Genomic DNA, 20,703 nt, shown 5'->3' with positions numbered 1-20,703 from the left:
AAGGCAGCTCTGCCAGAGGTGCGCTCAGAGAGTGGTGGGGAGGGCAGGAGGGGTTGAGGGAACAGGGCGCTGGCGGGGGGGCTCGAGGGCGTGATGGCGAGAGGATGTCAAGCCTAGTTTCTGGCAAGTAGTGAGTGGGGGCAGGAAGCAGAGACAGACACGAAGGAAATACTTATTTTCTTTTCTCAGCCTTTTTTGTGATTAAAAAAACAAGTGACATCTCAAATTTCATTTGGAAAGGAAAAAGCAGAAGGCAGTGGTCTGGGTCCCTAAGCTCGGGCCGCAGCTGGCTGTTTTGTTTGCTGGGCTGAAATTCTAACGGTGCCTGAAATCAGAGTGCCTGGCACACCAGGGCAGAGGCAGGGGGTAGGGGGACAGCTGCCAGCCTCACTCAGGGTGAGAGATTCTTTCTCTGCTTGGCCACTGGGGAGGAAGCACAGCCCCAGGTGAGATCCGGGAGGGACCTTGCACCTCTCAACTCAAAGGGTGCCCTTGGCTGGCAGCATCAGCCTCCGGGGTAACACAGACTCTCAGGCCCACCCCAGACCTGCCCATCTGAACAAGTCCCCAGGGGATTTGTGTGCACATTAGTGGCTGGGAAACACTGCTTTAGAGATGATAGCGTCTGTGTCTTCAGATGGGGACGTGGAATTCCAGAGTGGCAGAGGGTCGCACCCAAGGTCACACACCTGGTGCAGGAAACGAGGGCCTCTGAACCGGGGTCTGGAGCATTTTTCCATCCACATGATGTCCGTCATAGAGCTGGGCACAGACGCAGGTTCAACAAGTGCAGCTGTTACTTCTCTTCCTGCTGCAGTATGGTGGCTTTTCTAACCAGGGGGAATAGCTTCAGGGACCAATCGGTATATCTGGGTGGACTTCAGTTCTCACTAAGAATCTCCCTGGCACGGGATTCAGTCCTATCCCTTTTTTCATTTGGGACATGCTAGCTTCTCCCCGCTTGTCCCAGAGTTGGCATCTGAAGCTGTGCAAGGAAGCAAGGTGCAAAATGGGTGTGGAAGGCCCTGGGAAGCCCCAAGAAGAGGGACCTTCCATGGGAAGTAGTGGTTGGTCCATAAGAATAGCATTAGGATGTGGTGAGGTCAGCAACTGGACTCTGGCTGGAAAGCATGGATGCAGTTTAATTGGGTTTCTTTCTCTCTCTTTTTTTTGTTTTTGAGAAGGAGTTTTGCTCTGTTGCCCAGGCTGGAGTGCACTGGAGCAATCTCTGCTCACTGCAACCTCCACCTTCCGGGTTCAACTAATTCTCCTGCTTTAGTCTCCCTAGTAGCTGGGACTACAGGTGCCCACTACCATGCCTGACTAACTTTTGTATTTTCAGTAGAGACGGGGTTTCACTATGTTGGCCAGGCTGGTCTTGAACTCCTGACCTCAGATGATCCACCTGCCTCGGCCTCTCAGAGTGCTGGGATTATAGGCATGAGCCACTGCACCTGGCCTATCTCTCTCTCTCTCTTTCTGGCAGTTGGGACAGGGGTAGGGTAGAGAATTAAAGTTGAGAATTAAAGCAGAGAATTACATCATTTATTGAGATGTGCTCATTTGCGTTTATTTGTTTAAAATAATTCCATAAATTGTAAAAGTTCTTCCTTCCACCCAAGGGGAGAAAAAACTGATAAGATGACATAAAGTAGTTTTAATTAATTGTAAAAAAATTCAAAGATATTCATGCCCTCATTCATTTTGTCATAGATTGATGCATTCCCCGACTTCTTACTAGACTCTGATTTCTCCCTAGGCACTGTGCTCGATGCTTATCACACCAGGCAATTTCTGGTCCTAGTGCTGCCGTCACCTGCTCCACACAGCTGCATTCCTCTTATGAATACTATTTAACCCAGGTGCCCAAACTCGACATTGTATCATTTTTTAGGGTGGAAACTCCTCCTGTCTTCCTAATTAGGGGCCACATGGCCTCACATAATCATCAATAAGGCTGAGACATCCTTAGGAGCATAGAATTTGGCTAGTTTTGGAGCCATACAGTCGGTGGAGGCATGGTGGGATCAGACAGCTATGCAGGGTCACTGTGTTCAGTTGCTCAGGATGTGCACTGCCCAAGGGTGCCACCTCTAAAGGACACCATTCTCATTATAGATGTAGATTTGCACATTTATTTAGACAATTTCCAAATAAATAGAAGTATCTTGAAGAAGGGATGCCTTTTTCTAATTCCCACAAAGGTCCCCTATGGCCTGGCAGTGGCCCTGGAGGTTCTGGTTCCAGCACGAGCTCTGGTACTAGCTGCCTTGAATTCTTCCCACAGGTCAACATGCTTTTTGGCCTTGGCCTTTCTTCTACGTAGGACACAGGAGGTCCTCTGGGGGCAGGGTGACCTAGCTGCCTTTCCAGAAGGTGAATGACAGTCTTAGCACTGGGTCAGCCCTTCCCTAGGTGGTTTTTGTCACCTTCTGAAAATGCCCATCTTTGCTGTTGCTAGTTTCTTTAGCACTCACTCACATTTCAGCCATTTCTTGTTTGTGTCCTAATTCTCCCTTGTCACCAGCCTAAGGGAAAGTGTGGCTGTGAGGGAGGCCCTATTCTCTTCATCTCAGGACTTTGCTTCTCTGCTGTGGTCAGGCCCACAGGTGCCTGCACATCCTCCACCTGCCTTAGCAAGACGGTGTTTCTGCAGATGGAGTGTTGGGTACTGCTAGCTCTGCTGGTCTTTCCTCAAAGGTGACTTCTGTGCCCGCTGGAATTGGGTTTGGCTCTACATAAGAGAAAAACTTTTCAAAAAGATGACTTAAACTAAGATATCGGAGTTTTTCTCTCACATTACAGTATGGCAGCTCCAGAGTCAGCTGGGAGTCAGAGTCCCAGGACCCCTCTATCTTTTGCTCCAACATTCTTAAGCTTTATCTTCCATCCTCAAGGTCACCTCATGGTTCAAGATGGCTGCTGGAGCTCCAGCCATCTCATATGGGCTTTAGGCAGGAAGAAGAAGGAAAGTAGTGAAGGAAGGGCACCTTTCCCAACTGAGTCAGCCTCCTTCAAAGAGATTTTTCTGGAAGTTTTTTTGTTCAGCAACTTCTACTTAAGCCTTGGCTACTCCAAGATGCAAGGGAAGTAGGAAATGTAATTTTTATCTGGGCACATGGGTGGCCACATCAAATCACAGTTCTTGTAAGAAGGAAAAAGGGGAGAATGGATTTTGGTTGGGAACACCTGGCAACCTCTGCCACATCTTGCTGCTTTTCCCCTTCCCCTATCCACTGCCCTCCCAGGGTCTCAAAAAAGCTGTTCTGGAGAGCTTTGCAACACAGGTTGTGTCTTCTGGCTGCCGCACTGCCCTCTTCTCACACCACCTTACAGTTTTTTTCTCTTTCCTCTGGTTTTCCCTCTGTTGCTTCTCCAGTGAATCCAGGGAGGGCAGTTTTTTGTACAGTGGTTAAGATGTGGATTAAGGCAGACCTGGTCCAGGTTGTAGACTGGACTCCCAGCTGTGTAACCTTAGGCAAATCACAGAACCTCTCTGAACCTCACTTTCCTCTTATGTGAAATGAAGCCAACAATAGTCCAGTGGCCTCATGGAGTTGTTGTGAGGAATAAATAGGGGAGGCATGCAGATCACTTAGCACGGAGCCTGGCACATTGCAAAGGACTCAGTAGGTGTTGGTTACTCCTATTTTTATTATCATTTTTGGGTCTTGCCCTTGGCATGGATTTTATAGGTATCACCAGCTGGTGGCATATTTCTTTTCTCTTAGACAATTCTCATCCAGTCAAGAAATATTTATTGAGCATCTACTATACACCAGTCTCTCTTCCAGAAGCTTGGAATAATTGGCAACACAGTAGGTAAGAATCCCTGCTTCAAGGAGGTGATATTTCATGGGGAGAGTCCCATTGTGCTGGGTGAGACCCTCTGGACCTTGGCTGCTCTTTTGCCACCAGAAATAGCATTCATGTAGGTATATAGGTCTCTGGGCCTTAGCCTCTCACACATGTTCTTATGGCTTCTGAGGCTTTCAGGTGCTTGACCTATGAGATACCCCAAAGGCTGACTTTTGAATCACATTGTTCTCATATTCACAAATCCTTGGGCCCACTTTAGCAGGCTAACCTATGCAAGTGCTTGGAGATGAGTGCATGTCTCTTCCCAGTTAATTCATTTGCTTCTAACTGGAGCCTTCTAGAGACAGTCTCTCAAAGCAGGATATGTGACATTTTTGGGAATCGGATGCACCATGCACATATGCACAATTTGCACATGGTTTTAGGGGCTGCATAGACCTTGGGCAGCCCACTCTTGAGGCCTCAGAGCCTCCAGGGGCCCCAGCTCAGAACCCTGCTTGACAATCTCAGCAGTGACCTGTGCCAGAGCTGCCTTGACAGCAAGCCTTCACAAATGTCACTGCGTGCTAGTCTTTCTTGCTCCTTGTGGGTGGCCTGGTTCGAGCAAAAACTTGAGATAAATGTAAGAAGATGAGGCAATGGTTAGCCGAAAACCTTCCTTTCTGCCAAGGTTGCCCTTTGTCCTTTACTAGTGTGTGAATTGTGAGCAAGACTTCTCGCCACTCCTGGCCTCAGAGTTAGTTCTGGCCTGTAAAAGACTGGAGCTTGTTTAGATCATTTCTAAGGCTCTTTTCAACTTGGGAACTGCAAGGGCACTTAGCCTATGGGCTTGGCATTGGACAGAGGGGGGTCCAAGCCCTGTTTGTGCTCCTACGAGCTCTGTGCACTTCAGCCAGCAACCTGACTTCTCTCAGCCTCGGTGTTCTCATTTGCAAAAGGAAGATAAAAACATGTTCAAAGTATGACTGTAAACGAGCTAGAAGTGTGACTGTCATACAAATATAAAGCGGTATGTGCCAAAAGTTTACATTTAATTCATGAATGAAGGGACCAGCAGGATGGTAAAGTTGTTTCAAGGAGAATTTGGGGGGCTGAGAGCTTATCATCAGTGAAAGACAGGGAACACTGAAATAAAACTACAAAGTTCAATACAAAATTGGTTAATGTTGGACATGGTTAATAAACTAAACCTTGAGGTTATTTTTTCTACCAGACAGTAATGATTTGCAACTCTACCACACAAAAATCTACAAGTTCGTGTGTAACTGCACAGAGGACAGACCCTAATCAGTAGTGGATAGTGAGACAAAGGTGAGTCCCCTAAGGAACCTGGCTCACTTCACGGAAAGACATGAGGAGAAGCCCCTCTCCAGGGGAGAAGATGGCAGGAGTGGTGCATGGAGCGTGTCTGAGCACATCCACACTAATTGGTTTTCAGATGCAGCTGCAAAGTTCATGTGAAATGGAAAAAATCAAATCTGTGCTTTGAATCCATAGCACTTGCCTTTTGCAAGAGGCAAATTCTCAGTATGGGGATAGGTGATAGAATGATATCAAACCGGAGTGAACAGAGTAGCTATCTTCTCAGCTGATGTCAACGAATGATCTCAAGTGTATCACAAAGTAGTTTTTCCTCCAGCACTGCCTGTGACATTGAACAAACCCCTCCTGGGGCAGTGAGGCAGGGGCAGATGTGCTCTGCCGCCATACTGAGAACCGGGGCTGCCCCAGGGGCTTGCTTGCCACCCCCTTCAGCACTAGCAGAGGGCCACTTTCATGGATGGAGCGTGGGCTTAGGAGGCAGCAGCCAGGGCCTGCCAGGGCCCAGCACCCGCTGGACGACTTGGGGCTTGCAATTTCACCTCTTCTGTGAAAGCGCCAAGGTGCAGAGCCTGGTGTGGTGCAAGCACTCAGTGAAGGGAGCTGTTGGTGGCACCCTCTTCCGCCCTTTTCCACCCTGTGGCAGCGCTCAGTGTCCTCATCTTAAAAATTTTACCTCTTAAGGCTGTTAAGAGGGTTGCTTCTTGCTTTCACTGCCCCCCCCAACACCCTATAATCCAGTTGCCTCCCAGAAACCAGTTCTCCTTATAAAATATCAGCCAGACCCTGCTGCTCTCCTGCTAATACACTCCAACTCACTTTGAGTCCAACTCACATCCCAGCCATGCCTCCGAGGCTCTCCGTGACCCAGTCCCTGCCTATGGCTCTAGCCACCACCTTCTTTCTATTCCCTGACACTTCCAGCTCTTGCCCACCTCACGGCCTTTGTGCCTGCTGGTTCCTCTGCCTGGGACGCTCTTCCCAGGACTCTGCTTGGCTGCTTGCTTCTTGTCACTTCGTTTCTCCCTTGACAGACAGGGAAGCCCACCAACCACGCGGGCTGCAGGGGCCCCTGCTTCCCACTCCCTCTCCATCCTGCTCCTGTTCTGTTTCCTTCACGGCACTCCTCCATCTCTGAAATCATGTGGGTGGTTTTTGGCTCCCCCACTGGGATGGAAGCATGGAGCTCCCTTGCCTTGGTTGCTGCTCTGCCTAAGCCCGTGGTCCGGCCCTGAGAATGGAGAGGGCCTGGATGAACAGCAGCGGCGAGGATGCTGGTGACAGACACATGTGCCAGCAGGGACTGAGCTGAATGCTTCACATGCTTACTTATTGAATCCCCACCACAGCTAGATACTGTTACTATTTGTTATTCCCATTTTATACAAGAAGAAAGAGAGGCACGGAGATGTTAGGGGACAAGCTCAGAGTCACCCAGCTAGTGAGAAGCAGAGCCAGGATTCAGCCCAGACAATCTGGCTCCAGAGTTTCTGCCCTTAACTGACATGTGAAATGCTTGTTGGATTTGTGATGTACGAGACAGAACATGAGCCATCCTCCCCGGTGAACCCCACCCCTCCACGATGACAGGCCGTCCCTGCTGGCCTTGATCCCTCAGCCTACTCCCCCAGCTGAAGCCTCCCTCCCCCAGCCATGAGTAAGGACAGGACACCTTCCACCGCCTCACAGGGATCTGATTCAGATAGGGCTGCAGCGGCCAGAATTCCATTCCCACCTCTGCCTGGGATTAGTCACACAGGACACATCCCCGTGGGCAGGTCACCTGCAGGCTTCACACTCATCTTCAGAGTCTGACACCTCCAGCCATGGGCAAATTATCTCTCTGCGCAGTCAGCCCAGAGAGACGGAGTAGCAGAGCCCTGGAGCCGAGGGCCCCAGCAGCCCCACGCTGCGTTCTTTTCATTTGCACCTTAGCTGGCTGTCAGGTGCGACAGGGACTCACTGCCACCCCTCACTGCTGCAAAAAGCGAAGTCCCAAGGCTTCCCAGCTCAGAGCCTCACCCCCAGTCGTGGGGGGCTTGGCCTCTCCCTGTGTCTTCCTGTCTGACTCTGTCTTTTTTTTCTTCTTTCACTTCTGTTTCTTTTGTATTCTGTTTTTGCACTTTTCTCTTCATTGGTCTCCTGGCTCTGGACTGCCTCCCTTTCTCTCTCTGTCTCAGATTCCCTTGCCTTTCCCCCAGATGCTGCACTGTGGTGGCACTGGCACCTGGGAGCTGGCTGCTGCTCCTGCAGGGCTTCAGCCATTGCTTTCCTGCAGTTTCTCCTTGCAGGGTGCTGCCCAGGAGTGCACCTGCAGGCTGGGCAAGTGGCCGGGGCTTCTGGCTTCTGTTTGGCCACTGCTCATCTGATAAACAAGTGTGATCCAGCCTCTTTCTTCCCTTGGTCTCTAGATCCTCCCCATGACAGCTCATGAGGATGAGGGGAGGGTTTTGGGTGGGGATGCTGACACCAAGTCACCAAAAGGTGTGGCAGACACAGTGCTTCATTCCTTTATGGACGTGGGCCCCTGCGATCCTGTCACCCACAGCCCTGGTTCCTGGCTTCTGAAGGTGCTCCCCTCACTCACTCCCCTTTCTTTTGTTTTCTTTCCTACCAAAAATGTTAGCAGGATGCAGAGATTTGGGCACATCCACACAGATGACACATAGGTGTCTTTGCTCAACTGTCTAAATTTAGTAGCAAACTTTCACCCATGCCATGTGTAACTCTTTCCTGTATAGTACGTTTAGCTGTATAAAAAAAGCTAATCCAGGGCGACCAGCAAAGCCCTCTCTGCCCAAAGCATTTCATTTACATTCCCAGACTGGTCAGATGTCACCAATGATAGACTAGCCTAAGCCAGAACTCCCCCTGACATACCACATAGAAATTAGGGCTGTCAGTCATTCACCACCTAGTATGAACTACTCTTCCAGGCCCAATATCCTCAACACCTAGTTAGCATCAGTCATCCTGGGGCATTGGAAATACTGTGAGAAAGGGGTGGAGAAAGAGGTGGCACCATAAGAGGGGCACTGGGTGGGAAAGGACAAAATGAGGGGTTTGAGGGACAGAGAAGATAGGGTTAGAGATCATACGTGTAGAATGAGGGCTCTCAACCCTGGCTGCCCTGTGGAATCCCCTGGAAGCTTTGAAAAATCCCAAAGCCCAGGCTCCCTCCCTGATCAATAAAATCAGAATCTCTGGGGTGGGTCCAGGCAACAGTATTTTTTAAGTTTCCCAGATAGTTCCAGTGTGCAGCTGAGTTTGAGAACCACTCTCTTATCCAGTGCTGTGCCACTCGAATGCACGCACAAATCGCCTTATTAAAGGCAGATTCTGATGCAGCAGGTCTCGGGGGCTGGGTGCGATTCTGCATTTCTGTCACTGCTGGTACAGCACATTTTCTTAGCAAACTTTGGGTAGCAAGGCTTTAGTTTACCTGGCTTGTTCTCCAACCTGGCTGTGTTCTCAAACAAAGAAAGATGAAAATGGGAAATATTGGCTGGGCTGATCAAGACTCCATCCCCCCAGCGCCCAGCTCTGGTAACTCTGAGTTGGAGCTCAAGCTTAGAGTGGAGGCCTCGGGCTCCCCAGGCTGGAATCAGATCTAGGGATGTTACTACCCCCTAGATACTCAGGACAGGAGCCGAGAGTGTGATCAGGAGGCTCAGGCAGAGAGCCGTGCTTTGAGGCGAGCCTTTGTGTGCACACTATTGGATCATGGCATGGCTGTGCTGGCTTGTAGGTACGGCCCAGGGCAGTGCTCTTCACTCATATTAGCGTGCCTTCCTCCAGGAAGCTGGCAGAGGGCAGATGCATCCTTCTCCACAGCTGTGCTGCCATCGTTATTATCAGGAGGCTTGAGACTTGCAGACATGCAATGTGACAAATGCAGGGATGGAGACGGGGGAGGGCCCTGGTGACCACGGGGAAAAGTGTTTGTTTGGGGGAACAGGGAGGCAAGCCGGAGGATGGTGAGAGGGGGCTGCAGGAGATGGTCAGAATTTCCTTCTGGGGCTGTGGACCTTCCACCCAACACTGTCACAAAGGCAGGCTGGGCCTGGTTCAGGGACCTTTGTCATTTGCTGGAGAACAGGCCCCCTGGAGGAATGACAGCTGTGTGTGGGGCTGGGCTGGGGGGTGGTGGCGGCAGGGGGCTTCATACACTTATCCAGTCCAGTCAATCTTCAAGGGGATTGGTACCTGTTTTTTTTTTTTTAATTGTTTTAATAGACCTTATTTTTTAGAGCAGTTTTAGGTTCACAGTAAAATTGGGCAGAAGCCACAGAGATTCCCAATTTACCCCATCCCCATTCCCTCACAAGCACAGCCTCCCCTGTTATCACATCCCCCACCAGAGCCGTACATTTGTCATAATCAATACATCTATGTTGACACATCATTATCACCTAGAGTGTGTAGTTTACAGTAGGGTTCACTCTTGGTGTTGCAGACTCTATGGGTCTGGACAAATGTCTAATGACATGGATACACTGTTGTAGTATCACACAGAGTGGTTCCCCTGCCCTAAAAGTCCTCTGTGCTCTGTGTATTCATCCATCTCTCACACCACCTGTTGGCATCCACTGATTTTTTTTTTACTCTCTCCATAATTTTGCCTTTTTCCAGAATGTCATACAGTTAGAATCATACAGTATATATCATTCTGGCTTCTTTCACTTAATCATATGCATTTCAGTTTGACTTGATAGTCCTTTCCTTTCCTTTCTTTTTTTTGGGAGGGTTGGAGTCTTGCTCTGTCACCCAGGCTGGAGTGCAGTGGCACGATCTCGGCTCACTGCAACCTCTGCCTCCTGGATTCAAGCGATTCTCTTGCCTCAGCCTCCCAAGTAGCTGGGACTACAGGCATGCACCACCATGCCTGGCTAATTTTTGTATTTTTTTTTTTTTAGTAGAGACAGAGTTTCACCATTTTGGCCAGGCTGGTCTAAAAGTCCTGACCTCAGGTGATCCACCCGCCTCAGCCTCCCAAAGTGCTGGGATTACAGGCGTGAGCCACCTCATCCGGCCAGCTCATTTCTTTTTATCACTGAATAATATTCCATTGTCTGGATGGTCCAGAGCTTACTCATCCATTCACCTACTAAAGGCCATTTTGGCTGCTTCCAAGTTTTAGCAGTTAGGAATAAAGCTGCCATAAACACCCATGTACAGATTTTTTGTGAACATAAGTTGTAACTCCTTTGGGTAACGCCAAGGAGCATGATCACTGGATCATATGGTGAGAGTATGCTTAGTGTTGTGAGGAACTGCCAAACCATCTTCTGAAGTGGCTGTACCATTTCATATCCTCACCAGCAAAGGACAAAAGTTCCTGTTGCCCCACATTCTTGCCACTGGCGTTGTCAGTGCTCTGGCTTTTGGCCACTCTAGAGTGGTGAAGGACCTGTTTGTTAATGTCAAAACATCGCAGACCCCTCCCAAGGGCTAGTTTTGACCTTTTTGGTACCCAAAGATAATCATCAAATATTGATGACATCCCACCTCCATGCTAGGCATAAAGTAAACATCCATGGCCCTTGCCCTTCTGTAACACAAGATTAAATGAAGGAGATAGATATTAATTACATAATTTCATAAATAATTGATTGATTAAAACTATGGTAAGTGCTGGCTGGGCACGGTGGCTCACGCCCATAATCCCAGCACTTTGGGAGGCTGAGGCGGGCGGATCACGGGGTCAGGAGTTTCAGACCAGCCTGACCAACATGGTGAAATCCCATCTCTACTAAAAATACAAAAATTAGCTGGGTGTGGTGGCATGCGCCTGTAATCCCAGCTACTCAGGAGGCTGAGGCAGGAGAATCACTTGAACCTGGGGGGCAGAGGTTGCAGTGAGCCAAGATTGTGCCACTGTCCTCCAGCCTGGGTGACAGTGCGAGACTCCATCTCAAAAACAAAAAAAAAAAAAGTACATGCTAAGAAGAAAAAGCATGGGTACAGTAGTTAGGAAGTGACCAAGGAAATACATCATGTTTTTGAAGAAGACCTTAGGAGTCCAGCAGTGCCTTTGAGTCTCTATCTTACTTGTCCACAAGGGCATCTGCACCCACATGGGAGGTATAAGAAAAGTAACGCTGGGCGTGGTGGCTCACACCTGTAATCCCAGCACTTTGGGAGGCAAAGGAGGGTGGATCACGAGGTCAGGAGATTGAGACCATCCTGGCTAACACGGTGAAAACCTGTCTCTACTAAAAATACAAAAAATTAGCCGGGTGTGGTAGCAGGTGCCTGTAGTCCCAGCTACTTGGGAGGCTGAGGCAGGAGAATGGCATGAACCTGGGAGGTGGAGCTTGCAGTGAGCCAAGATCACACTACTGCACTCCAGCCTGGGCGACAGAGTGAGACTCTGTTTCAAAAAAAAAAAAAAAAAGGAAAGAAAAGTAACAGTGGCCGGGTGCAGTGGCTCATGCCTATAGTCCTAGCACTTTGGGAGGCCAAGGCAGGCAGATCACTTGAGGCCAAGAGGTTGAGAACAGTATGGCCAACATAGCAAAACCCTGTCTCTACTAAAAATACAAAAAATTAGCCAAGCGTGGTGGCACTCGCCTGCAATCCCAGCTACTCGGGAGGCTGAGGCATGAGAATTGCTTGAACTCAGGAGGTGGAGATTGCAGTGAGTTGAGATCGAGCCATTGCACTCCAGCCTGGGTGACAGAGCAAGACTCTGTCTCACAAGAAAAGAAAAGAAAAGAAAAGAGAAGAAAAGAAAATAAAAGAAAAGGAAAGAAAAGAAAAGAAATAGCAAGAGCTCCTATTTATTGGGCCTTAAACCACCAGCTATGACTGTTACTTTCTCCCATTTTACAGATATGGAAAATAAGGCTCCCAGAGGTAAAGCCCATGGTGTTTAACCCTCATTCACTCTACACACAGTGCTAGGGGTGCATGAGGATACCCAGATATTGCAACAGCTCTGTGGCCTTTGTGGCTCTGCAGCCCAGGTGGGGACCCCTGGTCTAGGGATGGAGAGAATGAGGCAGGCAGCAGGGTGCCTGGCAGCACCAACCCTTCCCTGGGGGAGAGCATGGCTGTGGGAGCTATTCTCTAGAAGTTGGAGAAAATTTCCACCCCTTCTAGAGAAGCAGGAGTTGGGCCAAATTGGATGCTAAGATGAAGGCTCCTGAGCCCTGAACAGTTTCTGATATTCACAATGGTGGTCAGAGCCACCCACCCTCTGCCTGTCTCCCCCAGAATTTGGCTGCAGCCACCAGACCAGGAGGTGTAGTTGCCCTCTATGTTCAGGTTTTGCAGAGCTGGCCGTCACTTCCACAACTAGATGAAGACTGGGGCCAGGAGCCCTGGTGTCACTCCTGCTGAGGGCTCCTGGGTGGTGGCCCAGAGGTGTGCCAAAGACTGTGAGAAGTCAGGGGCTGATGGCCTTGGATCCCCCCTCCAAGCTGCTCCCACCACACTCTTCATTCTCGGAGACCTCAAGGAAGCAGTGTCAAATGCAGCTGCATGTCTGTAAGGGACTTCTGAACGAAGCCTCTCACCACAAGATTCCAATGCCTGCCTCTTTGCCTTTCAAACCTACAGGGGTTTGGAAGGAGTGACAGTTCCTGAGACACTCATAGGAATTCTGGGAGGCAAGAAGTCCCCAGGCAATGTTCATCGCAGACAGGGGCTGACATTCCACACTCTCTGCAGCACGGCCGCTCAGGGAAAACATGTGAACCGTATGCCATTTTTGATGAGGATATGTCTAGAATTTATTATACAAGCATCTAAGTTCTAAAACAGAGGGCTCTGAACATAATTTCACCTTTCCTTGATGACTCAATGTCAACATTATGAATGTTCACGATCGCACTCTGCTTTCCAGGCTTTCACCTCCTCCCTCCAAGTTCATCCATCAAGTGTCACTGCCGACATACATACACTTCCAGAAGCCTCCCCACACACTTGCCCGTCAGTTTGAAGATTCTAATGTGCTGTGCCTGTGTAGCATAATGGGTTAGCTTGTGGGTTCTGCAGTTAGGCAGGTTGGGAAAGTTACTATGCCTCAGTTACATTATCTGGAAAATAGGCATGATCAGAGTACTTTTAATAAAATAGGCTTTGGCCAGGTGCAGTATCTCATGCCTGTAATCCCAGCACTTTGGGAGGCTGAGGTGGGAGCATCGCTTGAGGCCAGGAGTTCAAGACCAGCCTGGGCAACATAGTGAGACCCCTTTGCTACAAATAAATAAATAAATAAATAAAAATATTTAGCTGAGCATGGTGGGGGTGTGCCCAGAGTCCTAGCTACTCTGCAGGCTGAGGCAGAAGAATTGCTTGAGCCCAGGATTGCCTGAGCCCAGGCTGCAGTGAGCTACAATTATGCCACTGGACTCCAGCCTGGGTGACAGAGTAAGACCCTGTCTCTATAAACAACAAACAAACAAACAGTAGACTTTCTTTTTTTAGAGCAGTTTCAGGTTCACAGCAAAATTGAGCAGAAAGCCCAGAGAGTTTTCATTTACTCCCTGCCCCCTCCCACACACATTCTCTCTGACTATTAACGTCCCACACCAGAGTGGTGAGAGCATGTGTCTCATGAGGTTGTTTTAAGAACTAAATGAGGCTGGGCGTGGTGGCTCACTCCTGTAATCCCAGCACTTTGGGAGGCCGAGGAGGGCAGATCACAAGGTCAGGAGATCGAGGCCATCCTGGCTAACACGGTGAAACCTCATCCCTACTAAAAATACAAAGAATTAGCTGGGCATGGTGGCGGGCGCCTGTAGTCCCAGCTACTTGGGAGGCTGAGGCAGGAGAATGACGTGAACCCAGAAGGCGGAGCTTCCAGTGAGCCGAGATCATGCCACTGCACTCCAGCCTGGGCAACAGAGCGAGACTCCTCTCAAAAAATAAATAAATAAATAAAATAAAAAATAAAAGAATTAGATGAGATCATGTATATAACACATATAAAATACCTAGCACAGTGCCAGGCACATAGTAAATGCACGATAAATGTTGCCACCACCACTATCATCACCACCACCACCACCACTAATAACAATCGTGTGTCACACAAGAGCCAGTCACAATCATTCATGTCTTAGGAGTAAAGTGAACAGTTTTTGTGCAAAGATTTGGATTATGTCTAAATGCCCTCTCAGCACCTCTCTGTGCTTGCATCTGTGTTCAGGCAGGCAGCGGGGAGGTCTGACTTCTGGAGAAGTGGAAACTGGGGAAGGATTCAGCTTCACCCCATATAGAAGTAGCTTAGTGATGTGCACTGCAGTCAGCACATGCCTCTCCTAGGAGTCTAAGGGTGGGTCCCTTGAGGCTCATAGAGGAGCTATCCTGTCTTTCTGGGTGTGTGTTATGGATCAGACTCTCTGTAGGCTTTGGAGAAAGAAGAGCTGAGTAGACAAGGTTTGATGTGTGGGCCAGATGGGTCAGGTTGAAGGTGGCTGGGATCCAAGGTGAGTCTTTAGCCCTGAGCAGAGGAAGAGCCGCCGGATGGATTCAGGACCACGGACAGCTCCCCAGACAGCGACTCCTTGTGGTTCCTCGTAGCTCCTCTGGGCTTTTGTTGTGGCCACCTGCAGATGACCCTCAGCCAACTGGAAACCTTCCTTGCTCCTGTTAACAGTCAGGGCTCTGTGTTTCTGCCTGCCTGGAAAGTTGTTAGGGTCTTATTCCCTTTGAGCATCCCTGTCTGTGCATGTGGAGGGGGCCTCAGGGGCTGCAGATATCCTGGGGAAGCTGACCTCTTGCTATTCCAATCCCTCCAGCCCCTTCTTTCTTCTGAGAAACTCCTGAGGCCAAGACTGACAGGGTGTGACAGCCCCGTAGAAGACTGAGGTGTGGAAGAATGGGGCATGGTCTTTTTGGTAGAGAAGTGGACCCCATTTCCCCTGAGGAAGAGGGAATGGAAATGCCCCAGGGACCCAGTGGTGCTCTGCTGGCCTCCTTGGTGGGCTGCTCCTGATATGACTTCAAGTCAGACGTCAGTCTTGACATTAGCTGTCCTGCCACGTTGGTGGGGCTCCCAGCTTCTCCCTGGAGAAGCTTGGATTCACAGCCCCTCTGCCCTGGTCACTTCTCTGAGCAGAGCCCCTTCCCCCAGCACAGCCTGGGTTATACTTGCCCAGCCCTGTCACTCCTCTCCTCAGTTCTCTCTCTTTTCAAACCACATTAAATCCTGCCTTTCCCAGCCCCAGGCCCACCCCTGGTCCTCAACCGGGAGAACCCAAAGAGTCTGCCCCTCAGAGTCTGGATGAGCTTTCCTGAGAAAAGTGATGCGTGTGAAGGGTGGCCTGCCTGTTGCGTAGACTGTGCATTCTTCAAAATACCCTAAAACCCACCTGGCTTGAGCCAGTCCAGCAAAGAGCAGCGTAGTAGGTGGTGGCACTGACCCTGCAGAACGACTTCTCCTGAGATCAGGTACCAGGCCATAAGCCCGGGCTGGGAGCATGTGAGTAATTGCCCTGTGAAATGCATTGCTGTGACAGAAGCAGACCAATTTGCCAAATGCCATTTTTGCTAAAAGCCAATTTGCCCCAAAAGTCAATTCATGGAATGGCCAATTTGTCAAATGACCAATACGTCAAATTGATTTATTTCTTTTAACTATTTGGTGTGAGTTGACTGGTTTGCATTTTGTCTTTATTACAGCAGTTTAAGAACTGTTCCATTTGTCTCTGCCCCAGCTCCGGGTGTTTGAACTATAGTGAACCCGCCCCAGCCTCTTCCTACAGAGGAATGGTGGAGCTTGGAGTCTTCCTACAGGAAGTGGCTGGGGTGGGGCAATCTGACTGTCCTTAAAAGGCTATTGTGAAGGGAAATGGGAAACTGCCCAACTAAAACCAAACTGTTAAAGGAAACAAAGAAATTTAGCAAATTGATCCTTTGCAGAATTAGCTGACCTGTGACTTAGCTTCATGTGACTTGGAAGGTGTGGCTGAGTGTTCTTGGGCCCCCGCTGGGGATGCTAGTGAGGGTATTGCTTTTCTCTCTCACAGTCATCTCTATTTTTTGGCAGGGGGTAGCAGGGAGCTCCTTGCAGGAAACGATGTCCTGTGATCATCCCTTTATAAAGACTTGTAGGAGGCCTCTGTGCTTGGTTTTAGACCCAGGAAAGGCCACTCTGCTCCCAAGCTGTTTTATCCATAGACTTGCTAAATTGTGTAAGATACCATTCCCCGAAGTCCCCCTAGGCTGTGAGAAGCCCGGGGCCCATTGGTAGCAGATGCAAAGGGCTTTGCAGGCTGCACCTCTCTTTTGTTTGATATTTCTACCTATTTCTGTCTTTATTCTTTTTACTTCTTTGATTTCTGTTTTCTCTATTTTACAACATACCCTCATTGCTTCCTGCAACAAGGCAGAGAAGGCATTTGGACCTACTCTGAAGGCTATTCCATTGGCCTATTTCCCATACTCCAGCCCTGGCTCTCCCAGATCCTTGCTCCTGTAGTTCTACCCCATGACCTGGAAGTCTTGTCCCAGAGCAGGGTGCTGTGCCTGTTCTCCAGGAAGACACAGAACCTGAACCGGTATTGCTGTACTAGAGACTCTGGAAGATGCAGCATCTTCACCTGGCACAGTCAGATACTCACATCTGCACAGTGCCCATTTTCCCATTTCCGCCTCTGTGTCTGTTGGAAGCTGGCCCCAGTCCCTCCTCACTGTTGGCTGGGGATTGTTTCTGCCACACTGTCCTCCGTGCAGTTTCCTCTCAGCCTGGGAATCTTCCCACTGCTTAAAATTGTGAGCCTGGCTTCTTGGAGTATTTGTCACTTGGCAGATTTTTTCTGCATTTGTCTCCTCCAGCAGGGACTGGAGAGGGAGGGCACTGGCATTTGTTGAATGCCTACAAAGCACCAGGTGCTGGAATCAGTGCTTCCCATGTTACTTTTTAAAACTTTTAATTGAAGTATAACATATATTCTGAAAAGTGTGCCAGTGAGTATACAGCTCACCACATTTTCTCAAAGTGAACACACTCATGTAACCAGCACCAGATCAAAAAGTAAAACATCATGAGTTCCTAGAAGCCTCCTGTACCTCCTTCCAGCCACAAATCCCTGCACCCCCCATCCCGACTAACTACAATCCTGGCTTCCAACAGCATAGATTAGTTTTGCCTATTTTGAGCTTTATATAAGTGGTACATATGGTATTTAATCCTCGCAACTCAGCAAGAGGGAGATGTGATTAACCCTCCTCTACCCATGAGTAACCAGACTCAGAGAGGTTAAGTAACTTGCCCAAGGTCACACAGGCAGTAAATGGTAGGGCTTGGAGTCAAGCCCAGGGTTTTCTGGCTCCAAAGCTCATGTCCTTTTCTCTATACATCAATTCTTTGTCCTCCTGCACCACCTCCCCTGCCCCCACCATTGTGTGTCTGGCCTGGGAACTTCTGAAGTCGCTGGTCCTAACTGTTCCTTGTAGGTGCCTGGGACAGGAGCCTTGCCTCTCATACTCCCCGGTGCATTCCCGCCCAGGACTAGCAGGTCACCAGGGGCCTCCAAGGTCTCCGCGCCCAGCACCTGGTGTTGAGTAAGCCCGGAGGCCTCGCCCTGGTGTTCACATGCAGAGGGGCCTGCATTCCTCTGCCTGCTTCATTCACCCTCGTTGCCTGCTGCTGTGCCCTTGCCTTAGTGGCTGGGACTCATGTCTGCCACTTGCAGTAGGTAGAGTTGAAGAGGACGAAGCTAGTTGTGTCTTCTGTGTGCCCCTGAGCCTCTCACTGCTTAGTGGGACTCTAGCCTCTGAGCTGCTGTTCCTTGGCAGGGCTGAACTTTCACTTCAAAGCAGGGCTGCCTTGTGGGATGTGCCCCTGATATCTCTGTTGGGGGAACGCATGCTCAGTAGCTGCATAGCAAACAGCCGGGTTCAAGGAAATGTTACCCTGGGTGCTTTTATGTTGCGGCCATTCAAGGCTGCTTAATGTCTCTGCCTGATGAGGTTTCTGCAACATTAACTCTGGTGGTGGTGGAGGGAGAAGGAGGGGGCTGCCACAGGAGGGTTTGTGGCTTCGCGGTGGGCAGGGAAGGGGCGCACCTCTCCAGCTGATGGGACCTGGCACATGTTGGGTGCTCAGTAAATGTGGGTGGGATGAATAAGGGCAGAGCTCAGACCCCACCATCCACAGTGTCAGGCCCCCAAACCACCTGCAGGAACTTGGACATCAGGAATTCCCTGGGACCATGTTGGCTGTTCCACATTTTATTTTATTTATTTATTTTTTAAATTTTTGAGATAGGGTCTCACTCTGTTGCCCAGACTGGAGTGAAGTGGCATGATCACAGCTTACTGCAGCTTCCACCTCCTTGGCTTGACAATCCTCCCAACTCAGCCTCCTGAGTAGCTGAGACCACAGACACACTAACACACCTGGCTAATTATTTAAAAACATTTTTGTGGAGACCAGGTCTTGCTATGTTGCCCAGGTTGCCTCAAATTCCTAGGCTCCAGTGATCCTCTTGCTTCGGCCTCCCAAAGTGCTGGGATTACAAGCATGAGCCACTGTGCCCAGACTGTAGTTCGATAATTGAAAAAAAATCTCCAGACCTCACAGAGCATGTGTGAGCTTTAATTCCGTGAATCTTATCATTCTCTTAGGAGTGGAAGAGGTGGTAAAGGAGAGGGAGCAGTCATTTCTTCAGTCAGAGTCACAGAGCTGTACCACTCAGGATTTAGTAGCGGCAGTTGGAAGCCTCACGGACAATACAACTGATTGTCACCCACCGTGTGCCAGTCTCCTCTTACAAACTTATGTTACAGAAAAGGAAACTGAGGCCCAAAGAGGCATCAGTTGGTGCTGAGCTTCGTTTTGAATCCAGGCTGCAGGGCTCTGCTCCCAGACTAGCTACTGCGCCCTGAGACTTCCTTTAGGGAAACTCGCTGATCTGATGACCCTGCCATCTGCTCCAGCTGGTCTGGCTCAAGGCAGTCAGGGTTGCAGAGAAGGGGAGCAGGAGAGCACCCAGGATTAGGAAGGGGAACTTGCCACTCAAAGGACCGCAGCCAAGCCTAGTGGAGGTGGCAAAGGCAGCTCCCAGGATCTATCCTGTCCTGTGTGATTTTTTTTTTTAAGAGATGGAGTCTCACTCTGTCACCCAAGTTGGAGTGCAGTGTCATGATCATAGCTCACTGTAACCTTGAACTCTTAGGCTCAAACAATCCTCCTGCCTTAGCCTCCGAGTAGCTAGGACTACAGGCAGACATCACCATGTCTCGCTGATTTTGTTAGCTGTTTGGAGAGATGGGCTCTCACTCACTATGTTGCCCATGATGATCTCAAACTGGCCTCAAGCCATCCTCCCACCTCAGCCTGCCAAAGTGCTGAAATTATAGGTGTGAGCCACGGCCCCCGGTTCCGTCCTGTATTTTCACAAGACAGAGAAGTAGAGGACCAGATTAAAGGAAACTGGGCTTGTGGCAGGCGGGACCCACTCCCCCTTCACTGCACCAGTGTGGTCTCTTTGACACCACTGCTGGGTCTGCTTTGCACCCTGGCCCTGGCCCCTACCTGAGCTTGAACTTCTGGAGAAGATGAAACAAACAGATTCACACTGAGAATTAGCTGACTGATAAGCTTTCTACTTGCATCTTCTGGGAGCACCTGAGGTTTGTGAGTGGACAAAGCCCTGGCCTCTGGGTTGAGGCCCAAGGCAGCACAATGCAGGTTCTTATCATCGAATGCTCTCCAGAACCCACCTTGAAGGTGAATTAGACCTAGTCCCTGACCTGGAGACAGGCGTGCACACATGCAGTATGCACACAGGGTAGATCTGGGGCACTTGAGTGTTGTTTCATGGGCTGGAGAGAGCAGGCAGGGAGGGGTACTTGCAGAATTAATTCCCCTTCTACGTGGGAGGCATAGGATCTAAAGGGAGGTGTGAAGAACCGGCAGAGACAAAGGCGGGATGGTCCAGCGAGATCCCAGGAGCATCTCTGAGCAGCATGTGCATCCCAGCGTCCCACCCATGGGTATTGATAGCCTCCCTCCTGCCAAGCCATCCTGCAGCAGGGCCCTGGAGCACAGACAGTCCTTAGGAGTCTGTCTCCCATTCCCTGGCCTGAGCAGGGAGCCAGGGCTGGGACTCCTGACCTCCTGGCAATGCTGGAGATGCCAAGTCTTCCTCTGCTGTGAGTGCTGGAGCTGATTCACCAGGGAGCCCCACACCTGCTCCTCACCCGTGCCCTCAGGCATCTTCCATGCAAATTGGCAGAAATGCAGGAAGGGCCTGTGGGACAAATGTAGTGGCTGGTCCCTGCCCCCCACCAGCCCTGTGGGTGCCTTTTCTGTTCCTCAGGAAGGCGGGCCTTGGTGAGCTGCAGCTGAGGGGTTGGTAGCTGCTCTTCCCTCTCTCCACTCACTAGGGGTGTCTGTGTCTAAGTCTCCCCACCTCAGCCCCCAAAGAATAGGAGTTGGCACCTCCAACCCTTGCTTTGAAATGCTAACCAGTACAGAGGTTATAATCTGGTTTGCTTTGGCTCCAGCTGGGGACATTAAAACATTTTACACCTTTCCTCTGCTGGAGGCAGCACTTCTCAGACTTCAGTGTGCACCTGAGACACTGAGGGATCCTGACTCAGGAG

General features: G+C 49.9%; 1 protein-coding gene across 1 annotated transcript in view, besides 2 other annotated features; it reads left to right on the top strand.

Moving 5' to 3' along the window:
* The window catches only part of SLIT1 (slit guidance ligand 1), a 187,922-nt gene that overhangs the window by 89,499 nt on the left and 77,720 nt on the right, over positions 1-20,703 (top strand). The gene's annotated exons all lie outside the window — the stretch shown is intronic.
* Positions 5,140-5,757: an enhancer, noted in NCBI's record as "H3K4me1 hESC enhancer chr10:98850461-98851078 (GRCh37/hg19 assembly coordinates)". NCBI's record gives its function as "activates a minimal SCP1, AML or CMV promoter by ChIP-STARR-seq in primed H9 embryonic stem cells {active_cell/tissue: H9 hESC(primed)}" and the evidence as "EXISTENCE:reporter gene assay evidence [ECO:0000049][PMID:30033119]".
* Positions 15,596-16,372: an enhancer, noted in NCBI's record as "NANOG-H3K4me1 hESC enhancer chr10:98839846-98840622 (GRCh37/hg19 assembly coordinates)". NCBI's record gives its function as "activates a minimal SCP1, AML or CMV promoter by ChIP-STARR-seq in naive H9 embryonic stem cells {active_cell/tissue: H9 hESC(naive)}" and the evidence as "EXISTENCE:reporter gene assay evidence [ECO:0000049][PMID:30033119]".

This window comes from Homo sapiens, chromosome 10, assembly GCF_000001405.40.
Source record: "Homo sapiens chromosome 10, GRCh38.p14 Primary Assembly".
In the NCBI taxonomy this organism is placed as follows: Eukaryota; Metazoa; Chordata; class Mammalia; order Primates; family Hominidae; genus Homo; species Homo sapiens.
The sequence above is the reverse complement of the archived record's forward strand: the minus strand, read 5'-3'. Positions and strand labels throughout refer to the sequence as shown.